Source organism: Homo sapiens, chromosome 22, assembly GCF_000001405.40.
Source record: "Homo sapiens chromosome 22, GRCh38.p14 Primary Assembly".
NCBI classification, from domain to species: Eukaryota; Metazoa; Chordata; class Mammalia; order Primates; family Hominidae; genus Homo; species Homo sapiens.
The window spans coordinates 40,151,954-40,167,415 of NC_000022.11; the positions used below are offsets into that span (position 1 = coordinate 40,151,954).

The following is a 15,462-nucleotide window of genomic DNA, read 5'->3' on the forward strand; positions in this document are numbered from 1 at the left end:
AGTTGGAAGGGAGGAAACTGTCAAATAAGTAGAGAAAATGTCCCAAACCTGAAAAACAAGAGATTCTAGATTATAAGTACTTACCTAGCACCAGTTCAATAAATAAAAAAAGAACCTTGCTTAGTGGTTTGCATTTTTAAAAACTAAGGATAAATGAAAGCTCCTAAAAGGGTTTTTTGTTTTTGGTTTTGTTTTTCTTTCTTTCTTACCACTATAAAAATAAGGACTTAAATGTTTCTAGAGAAGACACATGCAATACACTAGGACTTAGAATGATACTGAGCTTCTGTGTAGCAGCTATGGGAGCTAGAAGACAACGGAGCATCACCCTCAAAATTTTGGACGGAAAAGTTTACTGACTTCAACGTTTTTGTTTGTTTGTTTTTGTTTTTGTGATGGAGTCTTGCTCTGTTGCCAGACTGGAGTGCAGTGGCACGATCTCGGCTCACTGCAAGCTCCGCCTCCCGGGTTCATGCCATTCTTCTGCCTCAGCCTCCTGCGTAGCTTGGACTACAGGTGCCCACCACCACGCCCGGCTAATTTTTTTTGTATTTTTAGTAGAGACGGGGTTTCACCATGTTAGCCAGGATGGTCTCGATCTCCTGACCTTGTGATCCGCCCGCCTTGGCCTCCCAAAATGCTGGGATTACAGGCGTGAGCCATCGCACCCGGCCACACCCGGCTAATTTTTGTATTTTTAGTAGAGATGGGGTTTCACCATGTTGGCCAGGATGACCTTGATCTCTGGACCTTGTGATCCGCCTGCCTCAGCCTCCCAAACTGCTGGGATTACAGGTGTGAGCCACCGTGCCTGGCTTTAACTTTTATATTTAATTAAATATGTGGGTAAAAAAAATGTTTTTATGGCCGGGTGTGGTGGCTCACACCTATAATCCCAGCACTTTGGGAGGCTGAGGCAGATGGGTCACCTGAGGTCAGGAGTTCGAGACCAGCCTGGCCAACATGGTGAACCCCTGTCTGTACTAAAAATACAAAAAATTAGCCAGGTGTAGTGGCACACATCTGTAGTCCCAACTACTCGGGAGGCTGAGACAGGAGAACCGCTTGAACCCAGGAGGGGAGGCTGCAATGAGCCAAGATCACACCACTTCTCTCCAGCCTGGGCAACAGAACGAGACTCCATCTCAAAAAAAATAAAAATAAATAAAACATTTTTATGTGTCAGTTATATGTGTGGATAAAACAAGGACGTTTCAGTCATTCAAGGTCTCAAAAAAATTCACCTTCTATATACCTTTTATCAGGAAATCACTGGAATATATACTCCACCTGAATCAGTGAGTAAACTGTAAAAGAGACAGAGGATCTGGGAAACAGATGCTCCAGCTTAGGAGAAAGAGGAGGGCATTCCAGAGATGAAGAGGAGGAGACATCCCTAGCGAGATGTCAGCGATTCAGTGGCCTAGAAAGCAATCAATCCAGTTCGGAGCAGGAGAAACCCCTGAGGGTGTCTCCAAGGCGGAGTGAAACTGATAGATTACCTGAAGTGTTTGAACTGATTAAGAGGAGATTTACAGTTCTGTTGGAGAGTTTGAGGATGAATTAATGAAAAATACATAACAAATACTAAGCTAGAAAAAAAAAAACAAAAAGAATAAGAAGAGGAAGTGGTAATTATTAGTTCCAGGGAAACCAAAATTATACAAGAAAGGAAATTTAATTATAGCATTCCATATGATTCAGCTGTATATATTTACTACATAATAGCACTGTTAGCACTGAATATTGAGTTGAACAAAAACGGTAACTTACATTGTGAGGAAGGGAGGATGGAGGCTTATGTTGTGAGGGTGGGGCAGGGGTGGAAAGTACTGTTTTTGTTTGTCAGCCGGTAGTATTAATGTTATTTGACTTTTTAAATAATGTATATGTATTTAATATAAATTTTAATTTTTAAATAAAATTAGTAATTTAAATTATAATAAATCATTAAAGAAAGGGAATAATTCCATTTATGAAATTATATTAATTAATATTAATATTAAGAAATTATTGGCTTTCTTTATTTTTTTTTAAGACTTAGGGTCTCGCTGTGTTGCCCAGACTGGAGTGCAGTGGCTATTCACAGGTGTGATCATAGAGCGCTACAGTCTTGAACTCCTAGGCTCAATTGATTCTCCTGCCTCTGTCCCCCGAAGTAGCTGGGACTTACAGGGTCATGCCATAGCCCTCAGCCTTTTCTTTATATCTTTAAATATAAAAGCATGGGCTGGGCGCATTGGCTCACTGCTGTAATCCCAGCACTTTGGGAGGCCAAGACGGGTGGATCACGAGGTCAGGAGATCGAGACCATCCTGGCCAACATGGTGAAACCCTGTCTCTACTAAAAAAATACAAAAATCAGCTGGGCGTGGTGGCAGGCGCCTGTAATCCCAGCTACTCGGGAGGCTGAGGCAGGAGAATCATTTGAACCTGGGAGGTGGAGGTTGCAGTGAGCCAAGATCACGTCATTGCACTCCAACCTGGGTGACAGGGCGAGACTCCATCTCAAAAATAAATAAATAAATAAATAATAAAATAAAAGCATGTATATACGTATGTATGCCTATATGTACATACATATGGTTAAAAATACATATTTTCTGGCTGGGCGTGGTGGCTCACGCCTGTAATCCTAGCACTTTGGGAGGCCGAGGCAGGTGGATCACGAGATCAGGAGATCGAGACTATCCCGGCTGACACGGTGAAACCCCATCTCTACTAAAAATACAAAAAAATTAGCTGAGCATAGTGGCGGGTACCTGTAGTCCCAGCTGCTGGGGAAGCTGAGGCAGGAGAATGGTGTGAACCTGGGAGGCAGAGCTTGCAGTGAGCCGAGATCGCACCACTGCACTCCAGCCTGGGCAACAGAGCAAGACTCTATCTCAAAAAAAAAAAAAAAAAAAAATATATATATATATATATATATATATATATATATACATATATATATATATTCTGCTTCAATTTGCTCTAAAATATATATATATTTGGACTTGATATTTATAGAATCATACTACATATGCATTCTTTTGTGACTTGCTTCCTTCACTTGATTACCTTTTTGTAACTCACCCAGATTGAGGTGTGTAGCTGTAGTTCATTCATTTTCATGCAATATAGTATTCTATTTTCTGAAAACACCATAGCCTATTTATCTGTTTTACTGTTGACAGATGTTTATTCTTCTATTTTTTTCTGTTAAAAATAATTCCACTATAAATACTTTTGTATATGTGCAAAAGCTTCTCTAGGTATATACCTATAAGTAAGTGCAGTTACTAATGTGTACAGTAAATGCATCTTCAAATGTAATAGATAATGCAAACTTTTTGTTGTTGTTGTTGTTGGGGGAGACGGAGTCTTGCTCTGTCGCCCAGGCTGGAGTACAGTGGCGTGATCTCGGCTCACTGCCACCTCTGCCTCCCAGGTTCAAGCAATTCTTCTGTCTCAGCCTCCTGAGTAGCTGGGACTAAAGGCGCACACCACCACATCCAGCTAATTTTTGTATTTTTAGTAGAGACGGAGTTTCACCATGTTGGCCAGGATGGTCTTGATCTCCTGACCTCATGATCTGCCCGCTTTGGCCTCCCAAAGTGCTGGGATTACAGGCGTGAGCCACCCTGCCTGGCTGACAAAACTGCTTTTCAAAGTAGCTATACCAGTTTTCCCTCCCACTAGGAGTGGATAAGAGTTGCTATTGCTGCATACCCTTGTCAACACTTGGTATTACCTGACTTTAATTTTAGCCAACCTAGTAGTTGTGAAATGGTTTTAATTTGCATTTTCTTGACTGACATAAGATTGAACATCTTTTCATATGTTTAGAAACTGTTTATGTGTTCTCTTCAGTGAAATTCCTGCTTGGTTATTTGCAGATTTTTCTAGTAGGTTGTCTTTGTCTCATTGATTCATCACCGTTCTTTTATATTCTAGATGCTAATCCTTTGTCAGAGTTATGTGTTTTGCCGATCAACATGTTTCCTTTTTTCTGCAGATCTAATCACTCAAGGAGAAGTTTGAAAACCATTGGCCCAGGCTTCTGTTCTGTGCACCACAGTGAAACGGCCCTGTGGTTCTGCACAGGGCAGGTGTGGGTTCTTGGAGTGAGTCGCATTGTAGTTACTGACTGCTGCTGACCTGTGGTGCTTGCCTTTGCAGGTGGAACAGGAGGATTTTGTAATGGAAGGGCATGGCAAGACTCCACCTCCTGGTGAAGAAAGCAAACAGTGAGTCACAGTTTATTTAAAAAGAGTCCTATTACAGATCCTCGGAAACACTTTGGTTCAACATGCTGATAAGCGTGTTTGTCAGAGATGTATACGTTGGAGACATTGGGGAACTCACCAGTTGCTTTGGTGGCTGTTAATGCATTGCTTCTATTTATAGACCAACTAACTAGAAGGACAAGAAAGTTAGCGTTACAGTTTTTCACACTCGCCTAATCAAAATTTATGTTATGTTGTAGCAAAGGCTTTAAGGCTCAGTATGTTCCAAATTGAACTAATTCTGTTTGGTTGATTTCCAAAGAAAGTATAAAATGGTACATCCTTTTCTCAGTATTGTCTTTCTGAAGTGAACTAAACTAATAGACCATTTCCCTGCAATCTAAGTGTGAATTTATTTGAATGGTACTTTCTGAAATTCTATTCCATTTGGTTATTTACACTGCTGATCTTTGTTTAAATAACAAATTGTTTCTCTAAAGGAACAGGAATTATAAATAATATAACTTAGCCAACATTCCAAATAATTCAGGATCTCTCCCCTAACTCCTTAAGGGGTAATTGGTTTGTTGTTGGTTTTTTTTTTTTTTTTTTCTTGAGACGGAGTATCACTCTTGTCACCCAGGCTGGAGTGCAGTGGTGCAATCTGGGCTCACTGCAACTTCCGCCTCCTGGGTTCAAGCAATTCTCCTTCCTCAGCCTCCTAAATAGGACTAGGTGTGGTGGCGGGGACTACAGTTGCCCGCCACCACACCTAGCTAATTTTTCTATTTTTAGTAGAGATGGGGTTTCACCATGTTAGTCAGGCTGCTCTTGAACTCCTGACCTCAGGTGGTCTGCCTGCCTCGGCCTCCCAAAGTGCTGGGATTGCAGGTGTGAGGCATCGTGCCCAGCCAGGGGTGATTGGTTTTAAACCTGAAGTTGGGAGTCTGTTGGGTAGCTTTTTGATAGCAGTGAGTGAATTTTTTTCCTCTCTCCGTCATAGAATGTGAAAAATTGTGTTGCAGAGCAGACTGGTTTTTCATATGCCCTTTTAAAGGAAAAACAGTTAAGACTGCTTAAAGTACTGACATAACTACTATTTTTTATTCAGACATTAGTCTCCTAAATTGAATGGGCCAGTGATTATGGAATTTACCAAAAATCTATACAGAGAAACTTCTCTCATTCATATTTTTTTTCCTAGAAAATAGTTTAATTTTGGTCTGTCTTAAGAAAATTATGTCTTTAAAACCCTTAGGAATAAATTATGCAGAATGGACTATGCTGCCACGAGGCCAGATTCATTAAAGGAAAATGGCTCGTCTTGTATTTGTTGTGAATGGAAACCAGGATATTTTCACAGCTGGTTTAATTTGCTAACCAGGCAATTTTAAAAATAGCTCACAATATAAATCCTAGCTTTGCTGTATTCTATCAAATGCACTTACATTTTGCATGGGCTGATGGAATCAATTCATCTTTAGCAAATTAGAATGCCAGACATCTAGTCCCAGTAGAATGACAAGAGAAACACTTCAGGTGCTTTTCTCCGTGTCCACTGCACAGCCCTCCACCCCCACACTCTGGTCAAAGGTCTGTCATATAAAAATTATAACTCCATTTGTCGAGGGTTTTCTGTGCACAAGGTACTTTGCTTAAATATGTTTTACTCTGTCATTTCCACTCATTACACCATTTCATCTCCATTTCACTCAGAGATCAGGGTAGGTAACTTGCCCATGGTAATGCAGCTTGAAATGCAATTTAGATTTGAACCCAGATCTTACCGACTCTCTCACACCCTTTGCCATCCTTGGAAGCTATGCTCTTGAAAAATACTGTTGTTAGTAAAACTGCAGTTGTCAAAATCAAAGTCTCATGAATAAGAGGGAGTAGGCCAGGCGTGGTGTGGCTCACTGTAATCCCAGCACTTTGGGAGGCCAAGGCGAGTGGATCACTTGAGGTTGGGAGTTCAAGACCAGCCTGACCAACGTGGTGAAACCCTGTCTCTAGTAAAAAAATACAAAATTAGCCAGGCGTGGTGGCACACGCCTGTAATCCCAGCTACTTAGGAGGCTGAGGCAGGAGAATTGCTTGAACCCAGGAGGCAGAGGTTGCAGTGAGCTGAGATCACACCATTGCACTCCAGCCTGGGCAACAAGAGCGAAACTCCATCTTCAATAAATAAATAAATAAATAAATAAATAAATAAATAAATAAATAAATAAAGAGGGAGTTGAGGGAGACAATGAAAATGGCATAAGCCTATTTTTAAAAAAACAGGTGGAAGTTCTGTACTATAAAGGATATCCATTTCTCAAACAAACCAGTCTTTATCTTTAAAAACCTCTCTAGTAACCCTTATCCTGAATCAGCTTATTTAGGTATTCAGGAAATGTTGCTGGGCAGATTCTCCTACAAGTTTTATGTTATACAAACTGTACTTCTTTGAGAGTTTCAAACAGCCCCAGCAAGTTGGAATGCCATGTGTCGTATCCTTACCATTCTCCCTTGTTTTGTTTTCACAAGTCTCATACTGCCTGGCCTTTTCACAGATGAATTCTGTTCTATTTCTGTTTTCTTCTGGGCCTGGTCAGCTATTACATACTGAAGTGATAAAGCAGAAATCAGTCGTCTCACAAGGTGCTGTGAGCAAAGGTGCTGTGTTCTTTTGTTTGAGGCAACAACAATAAAAATATTTACAAAACAAATTTTTTTTAAATCTCAGAACTGCAGTTGGCAAATGATTATTACTATACTTTGTAAATATGATTCAGTCTGGATAGGGAATCTAGGAACTGAGTAATTTTTTTGCGTGTGTGACAGAGTCTCGCTCTGTCGCCCAGGCTGGAGTGCAGTGGCACAGTCTCGGCTCACTGCAAGCTCCGCCTCCCGGGTTCACGCCATTCTCCTGCCTCAGCCTCCCGAGTAGCTGGGACTACAGGCGCCCACCATCACACCCGGCTGATTTTTCTGTATTTTTAGTAGAGATGGGGTTTCACCGTGTTAGCCAGGATGGTCTCGATCTCCTGACCTTGTGATCTGCCCGCCTCGGCCTCCCAAAGTGCTGGGATTACAGGCGTGAGCCACCGCACCTGGCCGGAACTGAGTAATTTTTTAATAAAAGTAATGTAATATAAGCTTGTCAGAAAACATTCAAACAGCAATTGTGACTGTAGAAATAAAGGTGAGACCTGGCCAGGCGCGGTGGCTCACGCCTGTAATCCCAGCACTTTGGGAGGCTGAGGCGGGCAGATCACGAGGTCAGGAGATCGAGACCATCCTGGTTAACATGGTGAAACCCCGCCTCTAGTAAAAATACAAAAAATTAGCCATGCATGGTGGCGGGCGCCTGTAGTCCCAGCAACTCGGGAGGCTGAGGCAGGAGAATGGCGTGAACCCAGAAGGCGGAGCTTGCAGTGAGCCAAGATTGTGCCACTGCACTGCAGCCTGGGTGACAGAGCAAGACTCCATCTTAAAACATTAAAAAAAAAATTTAAAAATTTAAAAAAAAAGAAAGGTGAAACCCTTCCCTTCCTAATCTTCCTAAACATTTTCTGTACATTTTTAAACAACAATTAAATTGATTTTTCTCCCAATATCATTCTTCTAAGACTTAACTTTTGTAATTTGAGATATTTTCAGTCTATTTCTTTTTCTTTTTTTTTGAGACAAGGTCTCACTCTGTCACCTAGGCTAGGGTGCAATGGTACGATCATAGCTCACTGTAATCTTGAATTCCTGGGCTCATGGGATCTTTTTGCCTCAGCTTCCTGAGTGCCTGGGACTACAGGTACATACCACCGTACCCAGCTAATTAAAAAAAATTTTTTTTGTAGAAATGAGGTCTCACGTTGTTGCCCAGGCTGGTCTCCAGCTCCTGGGCCCAAGCAGTCCTCCTGCCTCAGCCTTCCAAAGTGTTGGGATTACAGGCATGAACCTCCTTGAGCGGCCTATTTCATTCTTTTAAACGTCTGTCAAACATTCTGTTGAATGGATATACTACAGTCATTCTTCTCTAAGAGATATTTTGGGCCAGGCGCGGTGACTCACGCCTGTAATCCCAGCACTTTGGGAGGCTGAGGCAGGCGGATCACCTGAGGTCGGGAGTTCAAAACCAGCCTGACCAACATGGAGAAACCCCGTCTCTACTAAAAATACAAAATTAGCTGGGCGTGGTGGTACATGCCTATAATCCCAGCTACTAGGGAGGCTGAGGCAGGAGAATGGCTTGCACCTGGGAGGCGGAGGTTGCAGTGAGCCGAGATTGTGCCATTGCACTCCAGCCTGGGCAACAAGAGTGAAACTCCGTCTCAAAAAAAAAAAAAAAGAGATATTTTGGTGGCCCTCACTTCCTTGATTACTACAAATAATATTTTATTAAACATTCTTATTCTTATATCTTTATTTTTATTGGTTGATTGATTGACTGATTGACAGGCTAGACAACACAGTAGTACCTGCAGCGAGGTAAGTCACTGCAACCTCAAACTCCAGGGCACCAGCAATCTTCCACCTTAGCCTTCTGAGTAGCTGTACTACAGGCACGCACTACCAAGCCCAGATACTTTTTTTTGCTTTGAGTAGAAACAGGGCCTCACTATGTTGCCGAGGCTGGTCTCAAACTCTTGGGCTCAGGCTCAAGCAATCCTCCCACCTCAGCCTCCCAAAGTCCTGGGATTACAGGCATGCACTATCATCCCTGGCCTCTTGTTTTAATTTATGTTCTTATGCTTACTAATGAGTTGAAATATCTTTTGTTAGTTTATTGGCCATTTATTTTTATTTTGTGTATCACCTATTTATATATATTTTCCTTTTTTATTGGATTGTTTTTATAGCTTTGTAGGAGCCCTTTATACATTTTAGATATTATTAACCTTTGTTGAGATGTTTTAAATATTTTCTCTCAGTCCTTATTGTTTAACATTAGATATCTTTCATGCCAACAAACTTTTTAAATTTTTATATAGCAAAATCAGCCTTTCTGGCTTTCATGTTTTATGCTTGCCTTGAGAAGTCTTTCCTATCCTAACCTGATAAAATATCTTTAGGTTTTCTATTTTAGTTTTTACATTTAGATGTTTAATTGATTCACTACTCAGTTTTGTATATGGTGTGAGGCAGAGATCTAACTTAATTTTTTTCCAAATGGTTCTCATTCATTGGTATTAGCCTGTACAAACAGCCCATTTCACTTACAGAGGCTGGTAGAGCACATGACTAATGTAACTTACTCAAGGTCACAGAGCAGATTCTTGTAATGATTAGGACTAAAATTATGTAATTAGCTGATCTGTGCCACTTTCTTTATCTCCCCATTTAACGTTTTGACCATAGGTTCCCAAAACCTCAAAAAATTATTTTCTGTGATGTTTATTTCAATAGAACTAAGTTCTATTAAGAGGCAGATTAGGTAGCTGTATATGTAGAAAGCTCTTGAAAAATAATTGACTTGTGATATTGAGAAATATCTGTGCTAAACTATTAATATTCTAGATCAGTTGTGCTGAATTCTGGTATTTGTATGTGAATAAGATTTATAATGTATATAGCTGTAAACACTTTATGTGTATTGTTTCCATGGGGTTTATTTACTATTAGTCTATCTAATGTAATCATTTTTCTGGGATATTGTCTTTGAGAATTATATTAGCAAATCAGACAAGCAAAGTTTATTGCCATATAATTACTACATTAAAATTACACAGCTTTAATTGCATGACGTGTTTACTGCAGGAGTAAATATTAAAACTATGACAGCTTTTAAAAAAGCAGCTAAGCAGGTACTTGCTCATAGATTGTGTTTGACCATGCTTTTTGAGAGGTCATTATAGATAAAATGCAGACGGGCTTTTGATTTGGTCTTATTTATATTTGTGATGGTCTAAAGGTTTGTGGGAAGATCACTTGTTCTAATTTTGAAGCCAAATACCAATTTTTATTTTTTTTGAGACAGAGTTTCGCTCTTGTTGCCCAAACTGGAGTGCAATGGCGCAATCTCGGCTCACTGCAACCTCAACCTCCCAGGTTCAAGCCATTCTGCCCCAGCCTCCCAAGTAGCTGGGATTATAGGTACACGCCACCACGCCTGGCTAATTTTTTCTATTTTTTAGTAGAGACGGGGTTTCACCGTGTTAGCCAGGATGGTTTCAATCTCCTGACCTCGTGATCCGCCTGCCTCGGTGTCCCAAAGTGCTGGGATTACAGGCGTGAGCCACCGCACCCGGTTTTATTAGCATATTTCTTGTTTCATATTTGACTACCCAATTAGGCACTAAACTTTCTGGGAACCATTCTTTTGGGTGTTTATTTAAAAACCCTGGGCAGCTCTATAGCATTTCCTAAACACAGGGCAAAGTAAAAATATTTCCAAATCATAGATTTTATAGATAATCATCTTCAGAACACAAATGTTGGTATTTGGCCATAGGAAAGTTGTTGTTGTTAACGTTTTAATTTTGTGTATTACACCATAAGGTTTTCTCCAGTTTTTCCCCCTTTAAACCATTATAATATGTACATGTTGAAATAAATTTATTAAGAAGTAGCAAGTTGAACTCTCTGTAAACTCAATCATTATTACACAGTAGTAAGCTAGACATCAGAAGAATAGTTGGCTTTTCTGTATAATCTTGAACAGCTTTTGGGGGAAATGAGTTTTCTTTTCAAGTTAATTGGTACTTTGAAAATGCCACAAAGAGGTTCAGTAGATGATAGTTTATACTCATGGAATTTTTGCTGCTGGGAGTTTTTGTAAAACCATCAACATTTTTTTGTACTAGATCTTTGGGGAACTTTCAGTTGCTAATAAATTTTGTAATTTGCATTGACATTACTTTAAAAAAATTCTCTAACAAAGTCTTTTTTTCCCAGAAGTCTCAGAATCGTAATAAATTCTGAATTCTATTTTGTTTGATTTTTCTTGGATGCCTGGACCATGGATTAATTACAGTAAGAGTAACTTCAAGGTCGGGCATGGTGGCTCACGCCTGTAATCTCAACACTTGGGGAGGGAGAGATGGGAGGATTGCTTGAGCTCAGGAATTAGAGAACAGCCTGGGCAACATGGCCAAACCTCATCTCTATAAAAAATGGAAAAATTAGCTGAGCGTGTTGTTGTGTGCCGGTAGTTCCAGCTTCTCAAGATCACCTGAGCCTGAGAGGTAGTGGTGGCAGTGAGCCAAGATCACACCACTGCACTCTACCCTGGGTGACAGAACAAGACCCTGTCTCAAAAAAAAAAAAAAAAAAAAAAAGTAATTTTAATAGATGACAGAATGAGACCCTGTCTCAAAAAAAAAAAAAAAAAAAAAAAAGGCCAGGCACGGTGGCTCACGCCTGTAATCCCAGCACTTTGGGAGGCCGAGGCGGGCAGATCACCTGAGGTCAGGAGTTCAAGACCAGCCTGGCCAACATGGAGAAACCCGTCTATACTAAAACTACAAAATTAGCCAGGTGTGGTGGCGCATGCCTGTAATCTCAGCTACTCGGGAGGCTGAGGCAGGAGAATCACTTGAACCCGGGAGGTGGAGGTTGCAGTGAGCCAAGATGGCATCATTGCAATCCAGCCTGGGCAACAAGAGCGAAACTCTGTCTCAAAAACAAAAAGAAAGAAAAGAAAAGGGTAACTTTAATAGATAATGTGTTTCACAATTTTATTTTATTTTTTTATTTTATTTAATTTTATAAATAAAATAAGGGGAGGGGAGGCTCAAGGCAGAAAAGATCAGGTTAAAGCTTTATGCTAGATCTTCGGCTCTATGAGGATGGATTTCTGTTGTCTTGGTCACTGCCTAGAGAGGTGCCTGGCACAAAAAGCATCTATAAATATATGTTGAATGAATAAGTTCCCATCGACTGTTAAGAATCCCTCTTCTACACACTCACTTTGAAATCTGAGGTGGTGTTATTATAAAGCCTAATTCCAGAATATTTTATCTGTTATCAGCAGAAGAAAGGTACATTGAAGCACTTTGGGAGGCCGAGGCAGGTGGATCACTTGAGGTTAGGAGTTCAAGACCAGCCTGACCAGCATGGTGAAAACCCATCTCTACTAAAAAGAAAAAAAAAAAAATTAGCCAGGTGTGGTGGTGGGCTCCTGTAATCCCAGCTACTCGGGAGGCTGAGGCAGGAGAATCACTTGAACCTGGGAGGCGGAGGTTGCAGTGAGCAAACATCACACCACTGCAGTCCAGCCTGGGCGACAGAGTGAGACTCTGCCTTTAAAAAAAAAAAAAAAAAAAGGGCATTGTTAACATGTTAACATGTCATGTTCCACTTTATTTTTTTTTAATTAATTTTTTTTAATTTTATTTTGACCAGGCACAGTGGCTCAATGCCTATAATCCAGCATATTGGGAGGCCAAGGCGGGTGGATCACCTGAGGTCAGGAGTCCAAGACCAGCCTGACCAACATGGAGAAACCTGGTCTGTACTACAAATACAAAATTAGCCCAGGCATGGTGGTGCATGCCTGTAATCCAAGCTACTAGGAGGCTGAGGCAGGAGAATCGCTTGAACCTGGGAGGCAGAGGTTGTGGTGAGCCGAGATCGCGCCATTACACTCCAGCCTGAGCAACGAGTAAAATTCTGTCTCAAAAAAAAAAAAAAAAAAGTTTTTTTTTTTTTTTCCCTGAAATAGCGTCTCACTCTGCCCAGGCTGGAGTGCAGTGACACGATCTTGGCTCACTCACTGCAACCTCCGCCTCCAGGGTTCAAGCTGTTCTCCTGCCTCAGCTTCCCAAGTAGCTGGGATTACACATACCCACCACCACGCCTGGCTAATTTTTGTATTTTTAGTAGAGACACGGTTTCAGCATGTTGGCCAGGCTGGTCTCAAACTCCTGACCTCAGATGATCCGCCTGCCTCAGCCTCCCAAAGTGCTGGGATTACAGGTGTGAGCCACCGCACCCACCCCTCCCCCCGGCTCTTTTTTTTTTTTTTTTTGAGACAGGGTCTTACTTTGTCACCCAAGCAGTGCAATGGTGCAATTTGGGCTCACTCAAGCCTCAACCAAAAAAATTCTTTTTGAGACAGGGTCTCTCGCTGTCACCCAGGTTGGAGTGCAGTGGCATGGTCATGGCTTATTGCAGCCTCCACCTCCTGGACTCAAGCAATCCTCCCACTTTAGCCTCTGGAGTAGCTAGTACTACAGGCACGCACTACCATGCCTGGCTAATTTTTTTGTTTTTAGTAGCGACAAAGCCTGACTATGTTGCCAGGCTGGTTTTGAACTCCTGGACTCAAGCAGTCCTCCCACCTCAACCGCCCAAAGTACTTGGATTACAGGCATGAGCCACCATGCCCAGTCATCAACTTTAGATTCAGTCCTTTCTTGAATATGTTCCAACAGACCTGATTTTATCTTCGTTCTCCTTAAGCATCCTACCTATAGGCCAGTGTATTAGTCCATTCTCATGCTGCTAATAAAGAACTTCCTGAGACTGGGTAATTTATAAAGGAAAGAAGTTTAATTGACTCACACATCCACATGGCTGAGGAGGCCTCAGGGAACTTACAACCATGGCGTAAGGGAAAGCAAACATGTCCTTCTTCACTTGGCGGCAGAAAGGAGAAGTGCTGAGCAATGGGGGGGAAAGCTCCTTATATAACCATCACATCTCATGAGAACTCACTATCACAAGAACAGCATGAGAGTAACCACCCCCATGATTCAGTTACCTCCCACTGGGTCCCTCCCACAACACATGGAGATTATGGGAACTACAGTTCAAGATGAGATTTGTGTGGGGACACAGCCAAACTGTATCAGCCAGTTATCAGTTATTGGGTGGTTTTTTTTGTTGTTGTTTTGTTTTGTTTTGTTTTTGGGCAGAAAATGCCTTTCTAGCCAAGTCTGAACCTTTTCTTCTAAGGACCTCCCTAAGATGCTATTAGCCTGTCTATGCATATTTTCAAAAGAACTTCTGCTCCTGCCAGGGGCTCTCCTGAAGGTCTTCCATGCAAGTCTGGTTTCCTTCTCCCTTACATCTCTGGGCAGGCAAAGAAATCTTTCTTTCTGACTAGCTGCAAATCCGGCTTTTGTGGGAATACTCTTCAAGAAAAAGCAAACTAATTTCAAAGACAAAACTAGGTTCAAAAGTGAATATTTATTTACAAAGAGGAGATAAATCACAAAAATGGCAACTTAAAAAAATTAACAAATACCACAAAATTCAGAAAAACAATGTAATATTTGTATTAATTGGTTGCCTAACACATGGCTGTGAAATGTTTTCCCCTACATTTTTTGGCCATGCTATACTCTTTTTTTTTTTTTTCGTGCTATACTCTTTGATCATCCCTCCCTATTCTGTGATATTTTCTAAAATAGGTAAATAATTCAGTGCTTCCTATAGCATGGTAGACCAAAATATGTTTTTTGTTATTAAGTTCCTTTCTGCCTCACAACTTGTTATTGGTAACATCATATAAATTTGTAAAAGTGTTGGCAGGGCATGGTGGCTCATGCCTGTAATCCTAGCACTCTGGGAGACCAAAGTGGGCAGATCACGAGGTCAGGAGTTTGAGACCAGCCTGGCCAACATGGTGAAACCCCGTCTCTACTGAAAGTCCAAAAATTAGCTAAGCGTGGTGGCACACATCTGTAATCCCAGCTACTCAGGAGGCTAAGGCAGGAGATTCGCTTGAACCAGGGAGGTGGAGGTTGTAGTGAGCCGAGGTCGTGTCACCACACTCCAGCCTGGGTGACGGAGTGAGACTTTGTCTCAAAAAAAAAAAAAAGAAAAAATTGTTAGCAATTTTGGGAAAACCTCTATTGAATATCTTTTATATATGCACTATGAAATTGCCAGGCTTCACTGTTTCTTGTACATTGGCTAATCTGAAATGGCCTTTGAATTGACATATGTATATCATAACATAATTTGGCCCCGCATATTTCAGTCATGATAGAGTGCCGCATATTTCAGTCATGATAGAGTGAGTTGACCTAGTAACAGCTCTTTGTACATTGATGGTTAACATTATCTCAACCATACACAGTTTTATGAAAACCACATAAATTTAGTTTATTCCATTGAACCCGAAACAAAAGTATCCTCAACTTAAGGTTTCCTTAGGGGGATCTCCAGAATGGCCGAAGTCACTCATAAGTCCATTGACACAAGGGGAACCATAATGGCAAGAAAGTTGGTATGGAAGGACAGATACTATTAATATATAATTCCATTTATCCAAGGTACTTAGAGCAGTCAGTTTAGAGACAGAAAGTAGAATGGTGGTTGCCAG

The 15,462-nt window shown here is 41.1% G+C and overlaps 1 protein-coding gene across 1 annotated transcript in view; it reads left to right on the forward strand.

Annotated features, from left to right (window-relative positions):
- Positions 1 to 15,462, forward strand: part of TNRC6B (trinucleotide repeat containing adaptor 6B) — a 290,975-nt gene that overhangs the window by 107,120 nt on the left and 168,393 nt on the right. The window contains exon 4 of the mRNA NM_001024843.2: positions 4,162 to 4,229. Within this exon, the coding sequence (NP_001020014.1) occupies positions 4,162 to 4,229 (68 nt within the window). The remainder of the gene's footprint in view (positions 1 to 4,161; positions 4,230 to 15,462) is intronic.